Here is a 26393-nt window from a genome sequence, read left to right as displayed (position 1 = left end):
AGAGCAGCTAGAAGGCACACTGCTGGCAGGAATATAAAATGTAGCCACCAGTGGTTGTCCCACCTTGGAAATAAGTTTAGCAGTTTCAGGTAAAACACACCTACCACTTGACCCAGCCATCCCAGTCTGATTTATTTACCCAAGAGAAATGAAAGCATATATCCACACAAAGACTTTTACATGAATGTTCATAGCAGCTTGATTAGTAACAGCCAAAAATGAGATAACCCAAATGTCTATCAACATAGGAATGGATAAAGTGTGTTGAATCCATATCATAGACTACTACCCAGCAATGAAAAGGAATGATCTATTGATACATAATATGGATGAATTTCAAACTAACAGTGCTGAATGAAAGTAGCCAGATAAAAAAGAACACATGCTATAGGATTCTGTTTATATAAATAGAAAATGTTATAAACAGCAATCTGCAGTAACAAAGCAGTTCAGTGGTTGAGAGATCAAGGTCTGGAAGGTGTTATAAAGAATTACAAGGAGGCTGGGCCAGGCGCAGTGGCAATGCCTGCAATCCTAGCACTTTGGGAGGCCAAGGTGGGCAGATGGCTTGAGCCCAGGAGTTTGAGACCAGCCTGGAAAACATGGTGAGACCCCGTCTCCACTAAAAATATAAAAATTAGCTGGGTGTGGTGCGGTGTGGTGGGTAGTCCCAGTTACTCAGGAGTCTGAGGTGGGAGGTCACCTGAGCCTGTGGAGGATGAGGCTGCAATGAGCCGTGATTGTGCCACTGCACTCCAGTCTGGAAGACAGAGTGAGCCCGTGTCAAAAAATAAAATATAAAATAAAAACAATAGAGAAGTAAACTCTTTTAAAAATATTCCTTTGCCTTCAATATATGAAAGAGGAGATTGATGAATAATACTTGAAAAATCTGTAATCAGGAAGAGCAGAATATTTTTAGAAAGGACAAAAATAGCACTAATCAGAAACATTAGGTTTTATTTCTTTTGTTTTCTTTGGTTTGTTTCAAGCATATATACTTTATTGCAAGCAATATTACACCTAAGTCTTTTGTCCTTAAGGGATATATGGAGAGTTTCAACACAATGCTGTTGTGTGTATTTTTTTCTACCTCCCTTTCCTGGAAATACGTGTAGTATTTTTTATGAAACATAAATTGCTAATGCCAAGATCTGTAATAGTAAATTGGATTCTCTCTTGATTCATTTTTTATAACACAATATCATCAAGATTCAGTTATCAATTTTTAAAAACATAGCCAGGCACGGTGACTCACATCTGTAATCCCAGCACTTTGGGAGGCCGAGGCAGGTGGATTGTTTGAGGTCAGGAGTTTGAGACCAGCCTTGCCAATATGGTAAAACCCCATCTCTACTAAAGAACAAAAATTAGCCAGGCATGGTGGTGCATGTCTGTAATCCCAGCTACTTAGGAGGCTGAGGCAGGAGAATCACTTGAACCCGGGAAGCAGAGGTTGCAGTGAGCCAAGATTGCACCACTGCACTCCAGCCTGGGCGATAGAGTGAGACCCATCTTAAATAAACAAACAAATAAGTAAGTAAATAAATTGCCAAGTTCTACTACCTCTTCTTGGAAGCCAAATTTTATTAATTGTTTTAGGTAGGATTTAATTTAGGAGAAGATTACGCTGAAACGATACCATTTAGTTACCACTGATTTGTGTTGATTAATACACATCATAATTTTTAAAATGCCAAACATTTGAAATTCTGTTAAACTATTTCATTTTGGGTAACAAAATTCATGCGAGTTTGGATTTAATAGGTACAGTGTTCAAGAAGATGGAAATAGCTCTATGCAATCTCTCTTGTTAACACAAGATTTCTTTTTTTTTTTCTTTTTTTTTTTTTTTTTTTTTGAGATGGAGTCTCACTCTGTCGCCCAGGCTGGAGTGCAGTGGCACGATCTCGGCTCACTGCAAACTTCGCCTCCCGGGTTCATGCCCTTCTCCTGTCTGAGCCTCTTGAGTAGCTGGGACTACAGGCGCCCGCCACCACGCCCGGCTAAATTTTGTATTTTTAGTGGAGATGGGGTTTCACCTTGAGCATGCCTACATTAAAGCACCATTACATCATACTGGAAGTATTACTTTATATACTACTGAACTATCAGCTTTTGAGGGGGCAGAGGAATCTTACTCTTTTTTTTTTTTTTTGAGACGGGAGTCTTGCTCTGTCGCCCAGACTGGAGTGCAGTGGCACGATCTCAGCTCACTGCAACCTCCGCCTCCCGGGGGTTCACGCCATTCTCCTGCCTCAGCCTCCCAAGTAGGTGGGACTACAGGCGCCTGCCACCACACCCGGCTAATTTTTTTGTATTTTTAGTAGAGATGGGGTTTCACCGTGTTAGCCAGGATGGTCTCGATCTCCTGACCTCGTGATCGGCCTGCCTTGGCCTCCCAAAGTGCTGGGATTACAAGCGTGAGCCACTGCGCTCGACCTTTTTGTTTTTGTTTTTGTTTTTTTTTTTTGAGATGTAATTTTGCTCTGTCACCTAGACTGAAGTGCAATGGCGCTATCTCGGCTCACTGCAACCTCTGCCTCCCAGGTTGAAGTGATTCTCCTGCCTCAACCTCCCGAGTAGCTGGGATTACAGGCACATGCCACCACACCCAGCTAATTTTGTATTTTTAGTAGAGACGGGTTTTTGCCATGTTGGCTAGTCTGGTCTTGAACTCCTGACCTCAGGTCATCTGCCTGCCTTGGCCTCCCAAAGTGCTAGGAGTTGAGCTGCCATGCCCGGCCAACACAAGATTTCAATGAAGAAGATTACAGAAAAGGTGAGTAGCCTAAGATGACATAGAAAGTGTACTGGAAGTGCATCTATGTGGTCTATTCTGTCTCCATGAACTCTTTCCTGATTAGCTCAGTAACTTCTCTCTCTCCTACTGAATTATTGGTAATTTTTTGTGCCAGTCAATCAAAAAGACTTCATGCATTAATTCATTGCTCTATAGCAACCCTTGACCTAAAGAGTAAGATTCCTGCACTTTGGGAGGCCGAGGCAGGCCGATCACGAGGTCAGGAGATCGAGACCATCCTGGCTAACATGGTGAAACCCTGTCTCTACTAAAAATACAAAAAAATTAGCCGGGCATGGTGGAGGGCGCCTGTAGTCCCAGCTACTTGGGAGGCTGAGGCAGGAGAATGGCGTGAACCCTGGATGCGGAGGTTGCAGTGAGCTGAGATCACGCCACTGCACTCCAGCCTGGGCGAGAGAGTGAGACTCTGTCTCAAAAAAAAAAAAAAAAGAAGAGTAAGATTCCTCTGCCCCTCAAAAGCTGATAGTTCAGTAGTATATAAAGTAATACTTCCAGTATGATGTAATGGTGCTGTAATGTAGGCATGCTCAAGGTGTAGCGGTGGCACAAAATACTTTTCCTTAGTGAACTTTCCAGAAGTAAAAGGAAGAAGCTAGTATGACTAGAGTCTGGAGTGACTGGGGCAGAGAGAATTTGGGGAGAACAGAACAGGACAGGTGGTTGGTCCAGATCACAGAGCTTTTCAGGCCAGCAATAGGATGGCAATAGGAAGTCACTGAAGGATTTTTTTTTTTTTTTTTTTTTTTTGAGGCAGAGTCTCACTCTGTTGCCCAGGCTGGAGTGCACTGTTGCGATCTCATCTCACTGCAACCTCTGCCGCCCAGGTTCAAGCAATTCTGCCTCAGCTTCCCAAGTAGCTGGGATTACAGGTGCCCACCACAACACCCGGCTAATTTTTGTATTTTTAGTAGAGATGGGGTTTCACCATGTTGGATAGGCTGGTCTTGAACTCCTGACCTCAGGTGATCCACCCGCCTCGGCCTCCCAAAGTACTGGGATTACAGGCATGAGCCATTGCACCCGGCCATCACTGAAGGATTTTGAAGTCAGAGTTGTGTAATCATTTAAGAATCCCTGCCAATGTAAGTCCCCTGAAGGTGGGACTGTTTGTGTTTTTCATGGTTATAGTCCCAGGGCCTGATATGCAGTTATTCTTGTTAAACAAAAGAAAATCTTGTGAGATTTGCATTTTTGGAAGATCACTGACAGCACCATGAATTAGACATATTGAGACTGGAATCAGAAGACCAATTCAAAGATCCTTGGACTAGAGTACACAAGATACCAAGAGGGCTTGAACTAAGTAGTAGCAATGAAGACAAGGGCAAGAGAGAGTTAGGAGTGGATTTATAGCATTTGAGGACTGATTGGAATAAGGGGTGACGTGGAGAAGTTGTGGGAAGAGAATAAAAAATGATTCCCAGATACTTGGTGCTATGATCTGAATGTTTGTATCTTTCCAAAATTCATTTGTTGAAATGTAGTCTCCAGTGTGTTGGTTTAACAGATGGGGCCTTTGGGAGATGATTAGATCATAAGGCCAAGCCTTGTGACTGAGATTAGTGCCCTTATGCAGAGAGGAAGCTTGTTTGCCCCTTTTCCCCTTCCACCATGTGAGGACAAAAAAATGCACCATCTATGAGGAATGGGCCCTCACCAGACACTAAATCCGTTAGAGCCTTGATCTTGGACTTCCTAGCCTGTAAATTTATTACAGATCTGTAATAAACTTCTGTTTATAAATTACTCTAAGATATCTTGTTAAAGCGCCCCAAAAAGACTAAGACCTTCGACTTCATTAATTCATTTGAAAGACATCAACTACAATTTAAAAAAACAAAACAAAAACAGAAAAGGTGGTTTGCAATTTTTTTCACTTCATGAGACTATAATTTATTTCCCTGGGTAGGCCACACAAATCCTTAAGAACATGGACTTTCCCCCATACAAGGCTGTGAACCGTGCACACAGAGATGCTCGATAAATGGTACCGAATCCTCTCCTTCAGCACCTGGTCCTCTCTGGCAGTCTCCATTCTCTTACCTCTCACTGCCCCCTCTACTTCTCTGAACCTGCAGTCCCCAAAGTCACCAATGGTCTCCATAGCAACAAAATTTAGTGGGCTCTTATACGACCTTATATTGCTTGACTTCTTGGCAGCAACTGACACTGACTACCCCTTGAAGCATCCCCTGCCCAGGCCTTCCACAATGTCACACTCTCTTGCTTCTCCTCCCTCCTCCTTGGTTATTGCTTCTCCTATCCTCACGGCTCAGCTCTAGCCCTCTTCTCAATCACTTCCTTTTCCCTAAAATGATTTTATTCACTCCTATGGTTTCAGTTACTTTTTTTTTTTTTTTTTTTTGAGACACAGTTTCACTCTGTTGTCCAGGCTGGAGTGCAATAGCACGATCTTGGCTCACTGCAACCTCTACCTCCCGGTTCAAGTGATTCTCCTGCCTCAGCCTCCTGAGTAGCTGGGATTATAGGCATGAGCCACCACGCCCGGCTAATTTTTGTATTTTTGTAGAGATGAGGTTTCACCATGTTGGCCAGCCTGGTCTTGAACTCCTGGCCTCAAGAGATCTGCCTGCCTCAGCCTCCCAAAGTGCTGGGATTACAGGCATGCACCACCACAATGGCCTTAGCTATCTGTTTTTTAATGACAATTCCTCATTGAGTTCAAAGCAGCCTCCTGAACTTCAGACTCGGTATCCAACCATTACTCAACATAATTACTCAAATGTCCATAGATATTTCAAATTCAGTATCTCCAAAATGTAAACTCTATCTTATTCTCTTCCCAAAACCTTGCTGCTCCTCCCATGTTTCTGCTCTCAATACCACTCCTGCCACAGTGGCTGCCCAGGTCACAAACCCAGAAGTCACCTTCACATTTCTGTCTCCTACCTTCCCCAATCCCTCATTGTGGTAGGAGTTATTAAGAAATTATTTTAGGCAGATAGAGAGGAAAAGGGGTCCTTGAAAAGTTTTTGTCTCTTTTGAAGCAGCTCCTGAGACGTTTCCTGTCTAGCATAAAAGCCCTGACTTTTAGACCCGAGCTGGCAACGTTTGATATGCAAATGCCGGCAGTTAGAAACTGGGTCCACCAACACGGTGATTCCCACCATCGTCCTCTTGCCCTTGTTCTCACAAGTGCCTGGCAACATGGCCACCCCCACATATCCCCACATGAGTAGAACATCATAGCGCCCTGCATTTGCATATTAAAAGGCTAGGGTGGAATGGCCAGTTTTATTAGGGGGCTACATGAATGACATGCGTGGTCAAACCAGTCCCCTGAGCCCTATGCAAATCAGACACCGCCTCCTGCATCCTCCTCCTATAACTGGCTGGTATCTCCCACGCACTCTGGGTCTCCTCTCTCAGCTTTGGAGCACCCATCCCTCTGTCTCTGTACAGGGGAGCTGCTTCTTTCTTTCTTCTCCCTTCCTTCTTGCTTATTAAACTCTCCGCTCCTTAAAACCACTCCACGTTTGTCCATGTCGTTTTATGTAATTCGACTCAAGACGAAAAAGGCTAGTATTCCTCCACTCGGTATCATCACCACATTCTGTTGAGTCTCTTTACGTCCAAAGAATCTCTCAAAATGGGCTATTTCCATCTTTAAGACACTCTCTTAAACCACCATCGTCTCTCCCAAGATTCCTTCAACAGCAACTGCTTTTTTCTGCAGCCAGTGATCTTTCTAAAAGGCAAACATGACCACATGTCTTCTTTTAAAATATTTATATAGCTCCCCACATCCTTTAAAAGGTACACTTTGGCCAGGTGCGGTGGCTCACGCCTGTAATTCCAGGACTTTGGGAGGCCAAGGCAGGTGGATCACCTGAGGCTGGGGGTTCGAGACCAGCCTGGCCAACATGGTACAACCTCTTCTCTACTAAGAATACAAAAATAGTTGGACTTCGTGGTGCACGCCTGTAATCCCAGCTGTTTGGGAGGCTGAGGCAAGAGAATCACTTGAACCCAGGAAGCAGAAGTTGCAGTGAGCGGGGAGATTGTGCCACTGCACTCCAGCCTGGGGGACAGAGAGAGGGCCGTCTCAAAAAAAAAAAAAAAAAAAGTACACCTTAATCTGGTTTCAAGGTGCAAGATCTGCACCTATCCTTCCATTTAAGTTTCATCAAACCGCTGCTACCTCCCCGTCTCCCACACAATTTATGGGACTTCTAAGTTCCCTCTAAAGGGTCCGAACACCTACACTGGTAACAAGCCACCTGGATTTGAATCCTGGCAAGACAACTTACTATCTGACCTTGGACATTGTGCTGTTCTTAACCTCTCCGTGCCTCGGTTTCCTCATGTGTATGAATAACATCAACACCTACATCAAAGTTTGCTGTATTAAATTTGATAATATATGCAAAGCATTTAGAAAAGTGCCTAGCTCATAGAAAGCCTTATGTAAATATTAACTATCATTTTTTTTCTTTTTTGGGGTGGTGGGGGAGGGGTTTCGCTTTTGTTGCCCAGGCTGGCGTGCAATGGCACGATCTCGGCTCACCACAACCTCGGCCTCCCGGGTTCAAGCGATTCTCCTGCCTCAGCCTCCCGAGTACCTGGGATTACAGGCATGCACCACCACGCCCGGGTAATTTTGTATTTTTAGTGGAGACGGGGTTTCTCCATGTTGGTCAGGCTGATCTCAAACTCCCGACCTCAGGTGATCCGCCCGCCTCGGCCTCCCAAAGTGCTGGGATTACAAGCGTGAAGCACCTCGCCCGGCCTAGCTATCATTTTTATACAAGTGCTGGGTTTTGGGAGAATGTAATGATGGCTTTTTTCTTACTAAACTTTCAGTGCAGGAGGAGGAGAAAGAAAGTAAATAGTTATATGAACACAGTAGAAAGTCAAAGTGGAAAACAAAAAGAACATAGAACCCAGGTGAGCGGTCCAGACCTCCCCCCAGAAACCTAAGAATCCATAGAAATGGGTGGGAAGCGGAGAAGATCCTCCAGACAGCAGGTGGCGATGTAGCATCCCCCAGAAGGCCCGCTAACAGAAGCTAGGAGGACGCGCTACCAAGGTCACGTGTCCCCGGCGTTCACTCGCTCTTCGCTTCACGACACTCGCATCCTCACGGGTGATTGGTCTGCGTGCGGCACGTGGGCGGGGTACCGGGGCGGGCCGGGGAGGGGCGGGGTGGGCGGAGGAGAGGGGCAGGGGGCGGAGCTGGAGGGGGTGGTTCGGCGTGGGGGCCGTTGGCTCCAGACAAATAAACATGGAGTCCATCTTCCACGAGAAAGTGAGTGTCCGCGTTCGGTGGGGAGCTGTCTGCCGCGCGGTGGCGGGCGTGGAGCGCGGCATCACCGCCTCTCGGAGGGCTGGGTGGGGCCCGAGTCGCCCCCATGCCGATCTCGCCCGGCGAGGGGCGACGCCGCAGCCTCCCGCCTCCTCGGCTCGAGGAGGGGAGCATCACCTACGCCCCTACTTCCCCCGCGGCCCCCGCCCTGGGAGCCGGGAGGGAGTATGGGCGGGGCCGGGGGCGTCTCGGGACACGGGAGTGGGGTGGCGCCCAGTGGGTTTGCTTCTGCCTTTCTCCGTCACTTTCCATCGCTTTTCGGAGGATTCCTTCACCCCTCCCCAATCCTTCCCTCTCCCTAGGGTCTAGCTAGAGTCATCTCTGGGACACCTCCCTCAACCCCTCCTACCCTAATCCTGGCAGAATTAACTTTTCCTCCTCCGGACTGCTCAATTCTATATTGGAGTCTTCCCTACACGTAGATCTTTGGGGTCTTGTTCGTGTCTTTCCCCTGCACTAGGTCCGCGAGCCTCCCGAGGGAGGAGACCTTGGCTCGCCCACTGTAGGGCCTGACATTTAGGAAGTGAAGTAGGAAACCCGGCGTGCCCCTAAACAGGGAAGTCGTCACAAGAGTTTTTATTACGGGATGTTTGGGTTTGGTTTCTTTTGGTACTCCCATCTTTCCGGAGCAGGCGGCCAGCTTTGTTTTTAGGTATTAGGAGTGGACTGGGATGATTTTGTTGTAGTCTGCCTAGCCTGCTGTCCCTTTAACTCTTCCGTGACCATGCACTTGAAGATACTGTTTGTGATATGTAAAGAAACTCCTCGTTTCTCTCATACTATTATCCAGCCATTTGTGTGTGAGTGAAGCCTTCCCCAGGACAGCTTTGGCACATGGTATCATGTTTCATAATAGTTTCGTGTTTGGAAAGAGTTGCTGGTAAGGCTGTTATTTAATAGGAGGAGCAAAGGGTTTTTGTTTTATTAAATACTTATAAATGATCATTTATCCCAGACATTTAAAATTCACACACACACAACAAATAAAGCAAAGACAAAAGAATACATTTACCAAATGTAAATCTGTAGCATAAATTTTTTTTAATTTTTATTTTAAAGATGGGGTCTCATTCTGTCACCCAGGCAGGTGTGCAATGGAGAGATCATGGCTCACTGCAGCCTTGATCTCCTAGGCACAAGCGATCCTCCCGCCTCTGCCTCCAGAGTAGCTGGGACTACAGGTGCATATCGCCAGGGCCAGGTAATGTTTTTGGGAGAGACGGGGTCTCGCTGTGTTGCCCAGGCTGGTCTCGAACTCCTGGACTCAGGTGATTCTCCCACCTCGGCCTCTCGAAGTGCTGTGATTACAGGCGTGAGCCACTGTGCCTGGAACAAATTGTTAAGTACAATGCTTTTCATTGTAGAAAACATCTCGGAAACTTTTGAAATAGGCTGATGTTCAGTGGGGGAGGAAGGACTCAGTCGTATAGTTGTCACTAATTTTTTGACTTGATTGACATGACTCGTAAATCATAGACAATAGAGATTTGGTTGCTTGGCTGAGTAGAGTGCGTGAAAAATACACACGTACTTTTTTTTTTTTTTTTTTGAGATGGAGTTTGGCTCTTGTCACCCAGGCTGGAGTGCAATGGCGCCATCATGGCTCACTGCAACCTCCGCCTCCCCGTTCAAGCGATTCTCCTGCCTCAGTCTCCCCAGTAGCTGAGATTACAGGCGCCCGCCACCACGCCCAGCTAATTTTTGTATTTTTAGTAGAGACAGGGTTTCACCATGTTGGCCAGGCTGGTCTCCAACTCCTGACAGGTGGTCCGCCCGCCTCGGCCTCCCAAAGTGCTGGGATTACAGGCGTGAGCCACCGCACCCGGCCATATTTTTGTTATTAATTTTCAAAGGCTTTGGTGTGGGACCACATTTCAACATGGAAGGCCTTAAACATGTTCCACACTACTTCCTGAGAATTAGACAAGATTTTTAACAATATTGTTACCTAGTTGGGACACATTTGTACTGACCCATGGGATGAAAAAAAGCTGAGTGCTAGCCTAGTGAAAATCTACTTACCCGAAAGAAATCCCTCTTAGTCTGGGTGCAGTGGCTCACACCAGTGCTTTGGGAGGCCCAGACGGGCGGATCATGAGGTCAGTAGTTTGAGACCAGCCTGGCCAACATGGTGAAACCCCGTCTCTACTAAAAATACAAAAAATTAGCCAGGTGTGGTGGCAGGCGCCTGTAATCCCAGGTACTCTGGAGGCTGAGGCAGGAGAATTGCTTGAACCCGAGAGGCAGAGGTTGCAGTGAGCCGAGACCGTGCCACTGCACTTCAGCCTGGGCAACAGAGCGAGACTCCGTCTCAAAAAAAAGAAAAGGAAAAAAGAGTCCCTCTTAATTATCAGCATGTGTATAGGCCTACAGATACTTCAGGAATACCTTTACCATTATCATCAACTTGTATCTACATAGCATGTGAAGATTCAACAATTTAGTTTTTTGGGCGTCCTCAAGAGTACGCACCTATAACCATATGGCCCAATTGTTAATCTCCTATACAGTCCATTCTGGGAATGTTTGGGCTTACTGTGCCATTTTTCCGTTCACTGCCTTCCCCTCTGCAATATACCTTTAACCCTTGCTAGGTCCTGGGTTTGGAGAGCCAGAGAACCAACTTTGGCCCTAAAGAAGCTGTGTAGGTAGCAATATCTGCCTACGAAGGGCCTTGCAACCATTTCCTCTTGGAACCTTGGTTTCCTCTTTCTGAGTAGTCACTTTGAGTACCCTTTATTAAGTTAGAATGTAAAAACAGTTTCTCACTGATATATCTGCAGTGCCTGAGAGAGGGCCTGGCACAGAGTAAGTACTCAATAAATATTTGAATGGGGCCGGGCGTGGTGAGACCTGTCTCTACAAGAATGAACAAAATTAGCTGGGCGTGTTAGCACATGCCTGTAGACTTGGGAGGCTGAGGTGGGAGGATTGCATGAGTCTGGGAGGTCGAGGCTGTAGTGAGCCATGATCGCACCACTGCACTCCAGCCTAGGGGACAGAGCAAGATCCTGTCTCAAAAGAAAAAAATGTATATATTTGAATGGATAAAGAGATGGCTTTGAGTTTCTGAGATATATATGGTGCTGTTTATCTAAAGTAAACAAGTTTTCTGTAAATATTTTAAGGCTTTGCAGGCCAGCTGTAGTCTCTGTCACACATTCTTATTTGTGCATGTTTTTCCCAACCATGTAAAAATGTAAAGTGCATTCTTAGCTACTGGGGCAGGTTGAATTTGGCCCATGGGCTAGAGTTTGCCAACCCCTAACTTAAACCTTTGTACTAACTTTATGACCACTACTGGATTTTTGTTGTTGTTTGTTTTAGTTCTGGTGCCTGCTTTGTTTTTTTTTTTTTTTTTAATCCTCTTGCTGATGTTTCTTGGTGCAGTTACTGTGCCATTTGTATTGGTGCTTTTAATGTAATGCAAACTGGTAATAATATCTAAACTTGCTGGGGTTGTACATAAAATTATTGAAAAGATTGAAAAGATGCTGAGCATTGACTCTGTGGCATTCATTATGCCCTTTTGTGATTGCTGGATTTTAGCCATCTTTAGGACATTTGAGCTTTAGGAGAAGCCAAATTCTGTATAAATGACTTGAAGTGCTAATAGCACAGGTTTTGAAACCTCTGCCTGGGTTTGAGTCTCAGCTCTGCCTTTTACTACCTGTGTGATCCTGAGCAAGTTACTTAGTATCCCTGTCCTCTAGTTTCCTCCTCTGTAGTGTGGGGATAATAACATAGACATAACCTGAGAGTTAGAGTGTAGAGAAGGCTCCCTGGCAGATAGTGCTGTAGAAGTACTGGCCATTGCCATTACTCAGGTGCTTGTGTTTGCTGAACCTCATAGTAAGGGCTCGGAGAGCACTAAGAGGAGGTGAGAAATGCTGCTAGATTGACAGCTTGTCCCCAGATAGCCCATTCCCGAGAGCACCTTAGGTTTATACCTGATTTGTGTTGTAGTTAGTAGTGTCTCTGGTAATTTGAACTAGTTTCAGGTTGGTCTTGAAAACCTGGGGAGGTTGGGGGTAAATGATTTGGTAGCAGTTCTCTTTTGTGATTTTATACATTATCTTTGTAGAACTGCAGTTTGCTAATTCTCTGAGCCCAACACAATGAAGTCTGGGCCTAAAATCATAGAATTTCTTTTATTTTTTTTTTTGTTTTTAATTTATTTATTCCCTCCCTCCCTCCTTTCTTCCTTTCTTCCTTTTCTTTCTTTCTTTCCTTCCTTCCTTCCTTCTTTCTTTTCTTTCTTTCTTTTCTTTCTTTGGAGTCTCACTCTGTCACCAGGCTGGAGTGCAGTGGCACGAACTTTCTTCAGAGTCTCACTTTGTCACCAGGCTGGAGTGCAGTGGCGCGAACTCAGCTCACTGCAACCTCCGTCTCCTGAGTTCAAGAGATTCTCCTGCCTCAGCCTCCCGAGTAGCTGGGACTATAGGCATGTGCCACCATGCCCAGCTAATTTTCTTATTTTTAGTAGAGACGAGGTTTCACCATGTTGGCCAGGATGGTCTTGATCTCTTGACCTCGTGATCCACCTGCCTCAGCCTCCCAAAGTGCGGGGATTACAGGCGTGAGCTACCACGCCCAGCCTATTTTTTATTTTTTGAGGCAGAGTCTCACTCTGTCACCCAGGCTGGAGTGCAGTGGTGCAATCTCAGCTCACTGCAACCTCCGCCTCCTGGGTTCAGGTGATTCTCCTGCCTTAGCCTCCTGAGCACCTGGGACTACAGGCGCCTGCCACCACACCTGGCTAATTCTTATATTTTTAGTAGAGGCGGGGTTTCACCATGTTGGCCAGGCTGGTCTCGAACTCCTGATCTCAAGTGATCAACCTGCCTTGGCCTCCCAAAGTGCTGGAATTACAGCCATGAGCCACCATGCCCAGCCAAATCATGAGATTTCAATACCGCTGAACTTTGATTATGGCAAAGTGAACTTCTGCTTTGATTAAAGCTTGATGAGAGAGGTGGCTGGGGATAGTTTGAGATAAGGGCAAGGCAGGAAAATGCATAATCTTACGTGGGCTCATTGTCATTGTACAATTCTTTTGGTCCATGTGGAATTTGATCCGTCCTATGACTTAAGTTATGTTTATTTTTGTTTTTATTTTTATTTATTTTGTGTCTTTTTGAGAGACATGATGTTGCTCTGTCACCTGGGCCAGAATACAGTGGCACAATCTTAGCTCCGTGTAGCCTTGAACTCCTGGGCTCAAGTGATCCTCCCACCTCAGCCCCTCAAACAGTTGAGATTATAGTATGAACCACTGTGCCTAGCCTTAAGTGATTTTTAAATTTGTACTGAACAGTTTGTCCTTTCCTTCCATTAAATCATATTAGAAGTACAGAACTTGATATTTCCTGTAGCAATACAGTTTTTCTTTGATGAAGTTTGATTTCAAGTACTTATTTTTCATAATTTAAAGCTATTTTTTATAGAGAGAATTTTAATCAAATATTTGGATGTCACTATTGCTATATATGGTATTAAGTATGGTGACCATAGTTTGTAAACTCCAAACTGACAGCAAGACAGGAAATTTGTGTTAGCAAAGGCTTTTTTCTTACTGTTTGAATTTTTTAAAAATTAGATACAATACAGAGAGGAGCACACAAATCATTAAGAGTACAGCTCAGCGAATTTTCACACAGTGAACATGTGTAAACAGCAAGTAACAAAAGATTTACCTGCATCCTATAACCTCCCATTATTCCCTTTTCTAGGTACTGTCTCTCCACTGCATTCCCACCAAATATAACCACTATGCTGAATTCTGACATCATAAATGAGTTTTGCCTGATTTTGAGCTTTTGTGACTGGAAGTGTACAGTGTATATACCCTTTCGATTCTGTCCTCTTTAGTTTACCATTGTTTGAGAAATTTATCCATACTGTTCCAGAATTAACTACTGTTAATTATTGTTAATTAACTACTGTTGTAGTTAATTCATCCTCATTGTTATCTAGTATTCTTTTGTGAGTAAACACAATTTCCATTCTACTGTGATCCCAGCTATCCATTTGGGTCGTTTCCAGTTTGGGGTCCATTACAAATAGTAATGCTATCTGTAATGCTATTTTGTATTACTACAAATAGTAATGCTATTTGTGGCACAAAAATACTGCTTTTGTGAACATTCTTATACATGTCTTTTGATGAATGTATGTTTGCATTGCTGTTGTTTACATTATGTACCTAGTAATGGAATTGCTAGATCATAGGAGATGTATATATTAAGCTTTAGTGGATGCATTACATAATTATTAGTTATTATTGGTTATACCAATTTATCCTCTCATCAGTAGTATACAACAGTTTCTGTATCTCTAATCTCCAACATTTTAGCCATTTTAGAGTTTGTGTACTAACACATTGTGGTTTTAATTTACATTTCCCTGATGACTAATAAAGTTGAGTACCTCTTTTGTGTTCTTTATAGCCATTTGACTGTCTTGTGAAGTGCTTGTTTGTCTTGCCTATTTTTCTTTTCTTTCTTTCTTTTTCTTCCTTCCTTCCTTTCTTTCTTTCTTCTTTCTTTCCTTCCTTCTTTTCTTTCTTTCTGTCTTTCTTTCTTGTCTTTCTTGTCTTTCTGTCTTTCTTGGTCTTGCCCTGTCACCCATGCTGGAGTGCAGTGGTGCAGTCTCAGCTTACTGTAGCCTCGACCTTTTTGGGGCTCAAGTTATCCTCCTTTCTCAGCCTCCCAAGAAGCTGGACTACAAGCACGCACCACCATGCTCAGTTAATTTTTTATTTTTTGTAGAAATGGGGTTTCACCATGTTGTCCAGGCTGGTCTCAAACTTCTGGGCTCAAGTAATCCTCCTGCCTTGGCCTCCCAAAATGCTGGGATTACAGGCATGAGCCACCGCAGCCAGCCTTGGCTATTTTTCAAAAGGATATAAGTAGAACATCTGTATATCCCTTCAATTTGCATATTATTCAGTAAGAGTTGCACTCTGGTAGTAGAAATATATAAGGAGGAGAAAGAAGTGGAAACAAAAAGTCTATTCTCATGAGAAGACTTGGGGGATAGTGTTCTCTCTAGCTCCAAGCTACTTATTCCTTACGAAAAGTTGAAGATAAACTTATCTCAGACTGAGGCTGTCTCAATGTTGTCTTCCTATTCCATTATACACATATAACCCATATTTTTTTCACCAGCTGAATTTTGCTCCTAGAAAATTGATTCATCAGGAAAAATATCCGTCTTGCAAGGTGGTTCTCTTTAGAGTCTGCTGTGTGACATAGCTCAGGACAAATTGTGTGATGTCAGATAGGTTGGGTTAAGGAATAGACCTTATTGGGGAAAGAGAGAACTTGGAGGGCCAAGGTTAGCAGGAGAAGGAAATGTTCTCTCATCTGCCGTCAATTCAGGGAGGGGCAAACCTGGTGTCTGTGTTCACAGGGAGGGATCCATCCATCTGTGATTCTCCCTTCTTATCAGGTAGCATGGGAAAGCTACACTGTTGCGGGGAGGAGGGTCACACGCAGGCTACTTAGTACCAGGCACCCTGGACTTGGATTCAGGTTGCCAGTTGTGTGAGAAACTGCCCAGCACCTGAAGGCCCTGAACCCATGAGAAGTTGTACCTACCTCCCATGAGGAGGAATCCTGTCATCCCATGGGAGCTGAGCTTGGGTGCAGTCCCTCTTGCTGGCTTGTCCAGGAGTGAGCTCCAGGGTTGTTTGGGACAGTTCTGCTCATTGCTTTACACTGTGTATACATTATCTGTAGAGTTCCATGAAGAGAACTTCAGCACTGTAACTGCAAGTTTTAACATGGAACAGAATTTTTCTCACCTGTATTAATTCTTAAGATTTGAAGTTCTATCAACAAGCATTTAGATTGTGTGGAGATTTTTTTATTTTTATTTTTGGAGACAGAGTCTTGCTCTGTTACCCAGACTGGAGTGGCAGTGGCATGGTCTTGGCTCACTGCAGGCTCTACTTCCTGGGTTCAAGCGATTCTCATGCCTCAGTGTCCTGATTAGCTAGGACTACAGGTACACACCACCATGCTGGCTAATTTTTGTATTTTTAGTAGAGACGAGGTTTCACCGTATTGGTCAGGCTGGTCTCGAACTCCCAGCCTCAAGCAGTCCACCCACCTCGGCCTCCCAAACTGCTGGGATTACAGGTGTGAGCCACCATGCTTGACTGACATCATCATGTTAAAAGAATAAATGTTCTAGGGAGCTGGGCACAGTGTCATGTTTCTGTAGTTCTAGCTGCTCGGGAGGCTGAGGCAGGAAGATCCCTTGAGCCCTGGAGTTCAAGTCCAGCCTGGGCAACATAGTGAGATCTCTTTTTTTAAATAAATAAATAACTGTTCTAGGGACTAAAATTTCCTTTCACCATTAGTAATTTACTGTAGAATCTCCAAGAATGAACTTATTTTAGGTACTGAAAATGAGGGAGACTAAATGTTTTATACAGTAGTTTTTAGTAAAATATGAGATTTGATGCATTTGATAGATGATGTTTGTTTAAAATAATTCTTAAATTTTTGATCATGTAATTATAGTTTCATTAATGGTAGATTTGTAAAATAAATGTTACCAAATGAAAATGCATGTACCTATGTTAATTATCCTTATCTAAAGCTGAAAGTTCAGTTCAACTATGTTAAAACATAGTAGGGGCCTGGCAGGGTGGCTCTTGCCTGTAATCCCAGAACTTAGGGAGGCCAAGGTGGGCAGATCACGAGGTCAGGAGATCGAGACCATCCTGGCTAACATTGTGAAACCGTATCGCTACTAAAAATACAAAAAATTAGCCGGGCATGGCGGTGGGCACCTGTAGTCGCAGCTACTTGGTAGGCTGAGGCAGGAGAATGGCGTGAACTCAGGAGGCAGAGCTTACAGTGAGCCGAGATCATGCCACTGCACTCCAGGCTGGGTGACAGAGCAAGACTCCATCTCAAAAAAAAAAAAAAAGTTGGCCAGGTGTGGCGGCTCACACCTGTAATCCCAGCACTTTTGGAGGCCGAGGCAGGCGGATCACAAGATCAGGAGTTTGAGACCAGCCTGGCTAACAGAGTGAAACCCTGTATATACTAAAAATACAAAAATTAGCCAGGCATGGTGGTGCATGCCTGTAGTCCCAGCTACTTGAGAGGCTGAGGCAGGAGAATCACTTGAACCCGGGAGGCGGAGGTTGTGGTAAGCTGAGATTGCTCCACTGCACTCCAGCCTGGACAACAGAGCAAGACTCTGTCTCAAAAAAAAAAAAAATTAATGATTAAATTATTTAGGGGAGCCGGGCGCAGTGGCTCACGCCTGTAATCCCAGCACTTTGGGAGGCCAAGGCGGGCGGATCACGAGGTCAGGAGATCAAGACCATCCTGGCTAACACAGGATGAAACCCCGTCTCTACTAAAAATACAAAAATTTAGCCGGGCGTGGTGGCGGGTGCCTGTAGTACCAGCTACTCGGGAGGCTGAGGCAGGAGAATGGCATGAACCCGGGTGGCGGAGCTTGCAGTGAGCCAAGATAGCGCCACTGCACTCCGGCCTGGGTGAAAGAGTGAGACTCCGTCTCAAAAAAAAAAAAAAATTATTTAGGGGAAGATACTATACAATTCTGTTTAACAAGTCACATTTTAATTTTTTCTTTTGGAAATATTAGCAAGAAGGCTCACTTTGTGCTCAACATTGCCTGAATAACTTATTGCAAGGAGAATATTTTAGCCCTGTGGAATTATCCTCAATTGCACATCAGCTGGATGAGGAGGAGAGGATGAGAATGGCAGAAGGAGGAGTTACTAGTGAAGATTATCGCACGTTTTTACAGGTACTGATTTTAAACTCACTAAGTCACATTTCTTTTTTTTTTTTTTTTTTGAGACGGAGTCTCGCCCTGTTGCCCATGCTGGAGTGCAATGGCGCGATCTCGGCTCACTGCAACCTCTGCCTCCCGGGTTCAAGCGATTCTCCTGCCTCAGCCTCCCAAGTAGCTGGGATTACAGGCACACGGCACTATGCCCGGCTAATTTTTTGTATCTTTGTTAGAGATGGGGTTTCACCATGTTGGTCAGGTTGGTCTCAAACTCCTGACCTTATGATCCACCTGTCTTGGCCTCCCAAAGTGCTGGGATTATAGGTGTGAGCCACCACACCCGGCTTACATTTCTTTTAAAAATGTGGATACCATTTAGAAAAGGATGGGCCATTCTTCCTATAGGGATCTGACTGGTGAATTATAACTGTGCTGTTAACTTTGGAAATGGGAATGCACAAGATATTGTTTTAAATATGCACGCTAATGACAGTTTGTATCCTTCTTTCCCCACCCCCACCCTTGCTTCAACTACCTGTCAAAATTAACAGCAGCCTTCTGGAAATATGGATGACAGTGGTTTTTTCTCTATTCAGGTAAGTAGTCACAAGCATGTACTATGTGTTGCTTACATCCCAGGCACCGTTTCACAGCCTTTCAATAGTCACTGTAACAAGGCGACCTTCGGAAGTTCTTCTGTCTACAGAGTATAGATTATACTCTAGAGTACTAGATTTTTTTTTTCTTGAGACAGAGTCTCGTTCTGTCACCTAGGCTGGAGTGCAGTGGCGTGATCTTGGCTCACTGTAGCCTCTGCCTCCCGGGTTCAAGCGATCCTCCTGCCTCAGCCTCCCAAGTAGCTGGGATTACAGGCACCCGCCACCACACCAGTTAATATTTGTATTTTTAGTAGAGATAGTGGGGTTTCACCGTGTTGGCCAGTCTGGTCTCCAACTCCTGACCTCAGCCTCCCAAAGTGCTGGGATTACAGGTGTGAGCCACTGCACCTGGCCAACTAGAGTACTAGATTTTTATATAGATAAACATGAAAGGATTGTAGAATCTTCATATTAGAGTGGGGCATTTAAAAATTCCTTCTTGAGAAAGATTAATTTGCATCTGGATGCTAATAATAACCTTAATTCTGGCCGGGCGCGGTGGCTCACACCTGTAATCCCAGCACTTTGGGGAGGCCGAGGTGGGCGGATCACGAGGTCAGGAGATTGAGACCATCCTGGCTAACATGGTGAAACCCCGTCTCTACTAAAAATACAAAAATTAGCTGGACGTGGTGACACGTGCCTGTAATCCCAGCTACTCGGGAGGCTGAGGCAGGAGAATCGCTTGAACCAGGGAGTCGTAGGTTGCAGTGAGCCAAGATCGCGCCACTGCACTCTAGCCTGGTGACAGAGCGAGACTCCATCTCAAAGAAAAAAAGAAATCCTTAATTCTAATAAGTCACAATGTCTCAAACTTACCATCTGTTGGGTAAATTTGAGAAAATGCAATACCTTGCTACCATCCTTTTAAATCAGCCTACCAGACTGGATTTCCTTATTATGGTTTGTGGCTTTTGATTTTTTTTTTTTAATGTATAGCTCTCTTTGAATTCTTTGGTGGTTATATATATATGTACTCGCAAGATTCTTTTATCTGTGGGTCTTTCATTCTTTTTCTAACACTGTGAGTTGTATCCAGAGTACTTTCGGAACCTCTCCTGAGCGACCTATCTCTGCAGATATCTTTGTTTATGTTTCCCTTGTACTGCCCTCCTGGACTCTTCCTCATCCACCAGCATTTCCATCTAGTGCTTTACCGTGCCACTGCTAACAGGTAATGGCTACTGCAGGGCTGAAATCAGAGGCCAGAGTAGGCCCAGCACTTGGCGTTTCCTATTTGTGCCTTGCTGCTCTTGGTGCCTGTTCATGTGTGCCCACTACCTTGCACTCAATTTCTGTCTTTGCTGGTACCTGGCTCACTTGCTTCTTTGTTGGCTACCTTGGAGGGCAGATAGTGAATTTTCAGAAATTTCCCTTTTTTTGTCAGACAGATTGAAATAAACAGGTTTGCATTTTGTTTTTTCTACAAGCGGCAAGCCCATGACCCTAGAAGTCTGACATCTATGGAACCTTCAGTTTAAATGCCCAGGGAGAACTTATTTTGGTAGATATGATTTCTGACATTGCAGGTAGCAAGTTGAATATAATTTTTCTAAAGTAGCACCCACAGCAGCCAAATTATCAGATGTATATAGTAGACTAGTTTTAAGAAAAGCACTTATGGGTAGAATATACATCTGGATTTTTGAGGCAGTTTTATTTAGGAATTGTGTGGTTTTCTGGAACATCTCAGAGACCTGGTATGAAAAGCACTCTTCTAATATATATGTGTTTTTTTTTATGGATTTAGTGATATATCTATACACACACACTTTTTAAAACCTATAGCCGGCTGGGCGTGGTGGCTCATGCCTGTAATCCCAGTACTTTGGGAGGCCCAGGCGGGTGGATCACAAGGTCAGGAGATTGAGACCAGCCTGGCCAACAAGGTGAAACCCTGTCTCTACTAAAAATACAAAAATAGCTGGGTGTGGTGGCGTGTGCTTGTAATCCCAGCTACTCGGGAGCCTCAGGAGGAGAATCGCTTGAACCTGGGAGGCGGAGGTTGCAGCGAGCCGAGATCGTGCCACTATACTCCAGCCTGGGCGACAGAGCAAGACTCTGTCACAAAAAAAAAAAAAAAAACCTATAGCCTTCTAGAGAAATTTATATATGAAGTACACAACTAACATAGCTACACTTCCTAAATTTGGAATGGAGTGGTTTAGCTTATGAAAAGTTGCTATTTTTCTTAACAGGTTATAAGCAATGCCTTGAAAGTTTGGGGTTTAGAACTAATCCTGTTCAACAGTCCAGAGTATCAGAGGCTCAGGATCGATCCTATGTAAGATTCTGTTTTGCATTTCATACATTTCTTTTCCCAAATTTGATTTTTAAAGTTGTAATTTCTTAAAGAAGAGAAATACATTTTGAATACTTTTGTTTTGATGTTCCCTGTTTCATTCACTCAGACTTTCCTATTTCACCTTTGTGATGTCCATGAGCATCTGCCCTGTAGCCTTCCTGGCACCCCAGTGTCTGTGGCAGCACAGAGCTGACCCCATAAGTGGTGCATGAGGCCATCTTGTGGCACAGCATCACTAAGCTGCTGCAGAGACGTTCATATGGTTGTGTGATCTTTTAAAAACATCAGTGACACTTAACTATAAATATAATCTTAAATTATCACAAATTTTATATAATATTTGCCAGTAGACAACATAAATATGAATTCAATATTTCAAGTTAATATTGTCTGTTTTCTTTTTTAGAAATGAAAGATCATTTATATGCAATTATAAGGAACACTGGTTTACAGTTAGAAAATTAGGAAAACAGGTAACATTTCTTACCCTTCCTTGTCTTTTTTTCTTATATTGTACCCCATTTAAAACTAAAATGTGGGCCAGGTGTGGTGGCTCATGCCAACAGTTTGGGAGGCTGAGGTGGGGGGATCACTTGAAGCCAGGAGTTTGAGACCAGCCTGGGCAACAAAGGGAGGTCCTGTCTCTTAAAAAAAAAATAAAAATAAAAATAAAAATAAATAAAAAAAAAAACAAAGAGCCAGGCATGGTGGCTCACATCTGTAATTCCAGCTTACTTGGAAGGCTGAGTCAGAAGGATCACTTGAGCTCAGGAGTTTGAGGCTGCAGTGAACTATGATTTTGTCACTGTACCCCAGCCTGGGTGACAGAGTAAGACTGTTCTATAAAACATAAAAATAAAAAAAATATATTTAAAAATTAAAAAAAAAAAAGGATTGCTGACTTTAAAATTAGGAAACTGACCAGTAATGTGTGTGTGTGTAGCATGGTTTATCCTTCTTGATAGATAGAAATTGTCATTTTAAAAGATAATATCAGTTTTCCTTATAAATTTATTTGTGACAAGTATATGCAATTTAACTATATCATAAGAAAAATTCTATATTAAAGATAATACAAATGTGGTTACTTTTAAGTGGGTTTTTATGTGATGACTATGTTCTGTCAGTTAATTATTACATTTATAGATTTGTATTTAGCATAGTGCTGTCACAAAGCCTGAAATAGTGTCAAGCATGAATAAAGCATTCAATTATGTTTGCTTTAGTGTAAGATTATTCATTATGATTCCAAAAGCCATGTAATACGTACGTCTACAGAAAATCACTTCTATTTTTTAAATAAAACATGAAATATGTCTTGAGCAAGCTATTTTAAGAAACAATCATTTAACGTCCTTGTTATTAGAATTTTGAATCTTTGAAAGAGGGTTATTGAAAACCAGCTAGGACAGTAAAAAAGAATAAACTAGTGATACATGCAGCAATATGGATGAATCTCAAAATAATTATGCTGAAAGAATAACCCACAAACAAAATACTACCTGCTGTATGGTATCATTTATTAAAAGTCTAGAAAAGTGCAGATTCATCTGTAGTGATGGAAAGCAGATTGACCAGCGGTTGCCTGGGGACGAGAAGGCTATGGAGGAGTGAGAGGGGAGGGTTACAGAGAGGCACGGGAAACATGGCAATGAGGAATGTGTTCACTATCTTGGTTGTAGTAATGGTTTCATGGGAGTACAGTATACAAATGTGAAAACATTTCAGAGGCCAGATGCAGTGGCTCATGCCTGTAATCCCAGCACTTTTGGAGGCCAAGGCAGGAGGATTGCTTGAGCTCAAGGAGTTCAGGACCAGCCTGGGCAATGGCACAAGACCCCATCTCTAAAAAAAAAATGAAAGAAAAAAAAATTGGCTAGGCGTGGTGATGCATGGCCGTAGTCCCAGGTGCTAGGGAGGCTGAGGAGGGAGCACAGAGGTCAAGCCTGCAGTGAATCATGATCGTGCTACTGCACTCCAGCTTGGGTGACAGAAGGAGATCCTGTCTCAAAAAAAAAGTTTCAAATTATACACTTTAAATATGTGCAGTTTATTATATGTCACTTATACCCCAATAAATCTGTTTTTTTTAAAATGTAAATACAAGCCAAAAAAGGTATAAGTCAAGAAAATATATTGAATTAAATCTGTAAGAGATAATTCAAAAACAAAAACCCTATTGTTATCTTTTAAGTCACCCAAATCAAATTTGGGAAAAGTCACCTACTTAGCTTCATCCTAAGTTGGTTCTTTCTTTCTTTCTTTCCTTCTTTTGAGACGGATTCTTGCTCTATCGCCCAGGCTGGATTGCAGTGGCGGGATCTTGGCTCCCTGCAACCTCCGCCACCTGGGTTCAAGCAATTCTCTTGTCTCAGCCTCCCAAATAGCTGTGTCTACAGCCACGCACCACCACACCCAGCTAATTTTTGTATTTTTAGTAGAGACGGGGTTTCGCCATGTTGGTCAGGCTGGTCTTGAACTCCTGACCTCAGGTGATCCGTCCGTCTCTGCCTCTCAAAGTGCTGGGGTTACAGGCGTGAGCCACCATGCCGAGCCCTAAGTTGGTTCTTTCTTAAAGTTCTTCCTGAGGAGCCAAGAGCAAGTTAAGGAGATGTAACCTAGAAGCTTACAGTGGAGGCTAGCTGGGTGCAGTGGTTCACGCCTGTAATCCCAGCACTTTAGGAGGCTGAGGCAGGGAGATCACTGAGGCCAGGAGCTTGAGAGCAGCTTGGCCCAACACAGTGACACCTTGTCTCTACAAAAAAAAAAAAAAAAAAAGGCAGCTTACAGCAGTAGAGGCTGATGCGAGTGGGAATCACCTCTAGGTAAAAACCAGTGTAGCGTACTGCTGAGATTATTTAACCTCTGGGTTTTATTTATGTGTTTTTAAAAATTATGATCCAGTATTTTTTACTTTTTTTTGTATAAAGTAAGCACTGAATTTTTAAGGTTGTATTAATTTGCAAATAAATGTCTATCTTATTATTTTGAGAGATTTAAAAAATTTTAGTTCTTCAAAATTGCATTTTCACATTTTGAATTACGTTATCTTTGACAAATACAGAAGATGTCAAATTTTGGTTTATTTTCTTTGGTTCTAATTTATATTTTTGTTTAAAACTATATTTTTCACTATAGACTCTTTCTGTCTCTCGAGGTCCCTGTATAATGAAAAAGAAGGCTGGAAAAAGTATTAACATTGTCAAAATCCAGGAAAAGTAGTTGGTCATGATATTGATCGTTAACTTTAGAAACTTTTTGTATCTTGTGGGTTAAATTAGGATTACTATGTGGTAGTGATAAATGATGTTAATTAGGGCCGAGTGCAGTGGCTAACACCTGTAATTCCAGCATGTAGGGAGGCTGAGGTGGGAGGATGTCTTGAATCCAGGAGTTTGAGACCAGCCTGTACAACATAGTGTAAGACCCCTTCTCCACACAAAAAAATTAGAAAATTTGTCAAGCATCTTGGTGCACACCTGTAGTCCCAGCTGCTTGGGAGGATGAAGCGAGAGAATCACTTAAGCCCAGGTGTTCGAGGCTGCAGTGAGCTATGATTGCACCACTGCACTCCAGACTAGATGACCATCTCTTTTAAAAAAATGTGTTTATATGTTATATGTGATAGTGCTTTTTAAAAACATTTTTAAATTATAGAGACAGGGTCTCACTATGTTACAGCCCAGGCTGGTCTCAAATTCCTGGGCTCAAGCAATCCTCCCACCTTAGCTAACCTCCCAAAGTGCTCGGATTATAGGCATGAGCTGCATGCCCAGCTAATTTAGTGATTTTTAAAAACTGAGCTGGTAATTATAAATTCTCTTCCTGGAACTTCTGACTTTCTCACAATTGGAATCTTTTGACAAAAATTATCAGTAATGGGAAAACTTTGTGTAGTTGTCATTTTTCCTCCCATCAGTGTGATAGATATGATTGGAGTTATGTTGGACTGATATTTTGAAAAAAGATTTAATTATAGCTATTAATAAAGACATTTAAACTACTGACTATGCATTTTTATTCTTTTGGGAGGGTTTAATGTTTATAGTTTAAAGCAAACTGTTGTTTTTAAAAAAGTATCTAACAGGGCCGGGCGCGGTGGCTCACACCTGTAATCCCAGCACTTTGGGAGGCCTAGGCGGGCGGATCACAAGGTCAAGAGATCAAGACCATCCTGGCTAACATGGTGAAACCCTGTCTCTACTAAAAATACAAAAAAATAGCTGGGTGTGGCGGCGTGCGCCTGTAGTCCCAGCTACTCGGGAGGCTGAGGCAGGAGGATGGCATGAACCCGGGAGGCGGAGCTTGCAGTGAGCCGAGATCGCGCCACTGCACTCCAGCCTGGGCGACAGAGCAATACTCTGTCTAAAAAAAAAAAAAAAAAAAAAAAAAGAGTATTTAGCAGAGGCCAGGTGCAGTGGCTCATGTTTGTAATCCCAGAACTTTGGGAGGCTGAGGCGGGCGGATCATTTGAGGTCAGGAGTTTGAGACCAGCCTGGCCAATGTGGCAAATGTGCTGTCTCTAACTAAAAATACAAAAATTAGCTGGGTGTGGTGGTGCAGACCTGTAGTCCCAGCTACTTGGGAGGCTGAGGCAGGAGAATCACTTGAACCTGGGAGGCAGAGGTTGCAGTGATCCGAGATCATGCCACTGCACTCCAGCCTGGGTTACAGAGTGAGACTCTTCTCAAAAAAAAAAAAAAGTATTTAATAGTGATAAATCTGCAGTATTCTCTTGTAGTTTTTAAGATCATATTATTCAGTCAAAGAAAAGAGCTCAACTTGAAATATTTCCAGAGTTTAAACAATCTTACTAAGCTTTGATGGGTTGTATCTATTCTTAACATGTGAAACTTCCTTATTACCTATAATATACACTAACTTAAATATTGACAATTTTTTTCCAGTGGTTTAACTTGAATTCTCTCTTGACGGGTCCAGAATTAATATCAGATACATATCTTGCACTTTTCTTGGCTCAATTACAACAGGAAGGTAAGTAACGGCTGAACATTTTGTAATGTTACCTTTCGAAGTAGTTAAATAACCAGGCACATTAGATGACAGTGTGATAAAACTGTTTTTCTGGCAGTGGCAGTGAAACAATCTTTAGTTTTGACGTGGTGATAGGCTGTGATTTGGGTGACGCTGTTCAGTTAGAGTTCTCACTGACACCTGGCCCTTCCTCTTCTGAGGATGCTGCTTTCTTTGCAGCCCTTCTAAGTAATGGCTTTTTCTTTTATACATCACATATCACACGGCTGAGAGGAGGGATAGATGTTTTTCTTCTTTGCCTCTTCTAGGCCACTGTTCTTCCTTATAAACTCCAGTTTCTTTGAAATACATGCCCCTAACGGCTGGGCACGGTGGCTCACGCCTGTAATCCCAGCACTTTGGGAGGCTGAGGCAGGCGGATCACGATGTCAGGAGATCGAGACCATCCTGGCTAACACGGTGAAATCCTGTCTCTACTAAAAATAACAAAAAATTAGCCGG

At 43.4% G+C, this 26393-nt stretch overlaps 1 protein-coding gene across 33 annotated transcripts in view, besides 5 other annotated features; it reads left to right on the top strand.

The window, feature by feature from the left end:
• Nucleotides 5802–6612: an enhancer, noted in NCBI's record as "OCT4-NANOG-H3K27ac hESC enhancer chr14:92574354-92575164 (GRCh37/hg19 assembly coordinates)". NCBI's record gives its function as "activates a minimal SCP1, AML or CMV promoter by ChIP-STARR-seq in naive H9 embryonic stem cells {active_cell/tissue: H9 hESC(naive)}" and the evidence as "EXISTENCE:reporter gene assay evidence [ECO:0000049][PMID:30033119]".
• Nucleotides 7817–8751: an enhancer, noted in NCBI's record as "H3K27ac-H3K4me1 hESC enhancer chr14:92572215-92573149 (GRCh37/hg19 assembly coordinates)". NCBI's record gives its function as "activates a minimal SCP1, AML or CMV promoter by ChIP-STARR-seq in naive H9 embryonic stem cells {active_cell/tissue: H9 hESC(naive)}" and the evidence as "EXISTENCE:reporter gene assay evidence [ECO:0000049][PMID:30033119]".
• Nucleotides 7941–8400: a silencer, noted in NCBI's record as "silent region_6032". NCBI's record gives its function as "represses an Ori minimal core promoter by ATAC-STARR-seq in GM12878 lymphoblastoid cells {active_cell/tissue: GM12878}" and the evidence as "EXISTENCE:reporter gene assay evidence [ECO:0000049][PMID:35858748]".
• Nucleotides 8040–26393, top strand: part of ATXN3 (ataxin 3) — a 61808-nt gene continuing 43454 nt past the window's right edge. For 6 of the 33 annotated variants that reach the window (NR_028462.2, NR_028458.2, NR_028468.2 and 3 more), the window contains exons 1-5: nt 8040–8093; nt 17784–17948; nt 18485–18529; nt 21304–21370; nt 25805–25892. Coding sequence is in view for 11 of the 33 variants with exons in the window: in NM_004993.6 (NP_004984.2) it covers nt 8070–8093; nt 17784–17948; nt 18485–18529; nt 20791–20876; nt 21304–21370; nt 25805–25892 (475 nt within the window). In the remaining 22 variants the exon portion in view is untranslated. Of the gene's footprint in view, nt 8094–17783; nt 17949–18484; nt 18530–20790; nt 20877–21303; nt 21371–25804; nt 25893–26393 lie in introns of all 33 variants that reach the window. The other 27 variants (NR_031765.2, NR_028466.2, NR_028463.2 and 24 more) reach the window with 16 other exon arrangements.
• Nucleotides 14289–14825: an enhancer, noted in NCBI's record as "NANOG hESC enhancer chr14:92566141-92566677 (GRCh37/hg19 assembly coordinates)". NCBI's record gives its function as "activates a minimal SCP1, AML or CMV promoter by ChIP-STARR-seq in naive H9 embryonic stem cells {active_cell/tissue: H9 hESC(naive)}" and the evidence as "EXISTENCE:reporter gene assay evidence [ECO:0000049][PMID:30033119]".
• Nucleotides 21031–21100: a silencer, noted in NCBI's record as "silent region_6031". NCBI's record gives its function as "represses an Ori minimal core promoter by ATAC-STARR-seq in GM12878 lymphoblastoid cells {active_cell/tissue: GM12878}" and the evidence as "EXISTENCE:reporter gene assay evidence [ECO:0000049][PMID:35858748]".

The sequence above is a fragment of the Homo sapiens genome, chromosome 14 (assembly GCF_000001405.40).
Source record: "Homo sapiens chromosome 14, GRCh38.p14 Primary Assembly".
Taxonomy (NCBI): domain Eukaryota; kingdom Metazoa; phylum Chordata; class Mammalia; order Primates; family Hominidae; genus Homo; species Homo sapiens.
Note: the sequence above shows the minus strand (reverse complement) of the source record. Positions and strands in the feature narration are given on the sequence as shown.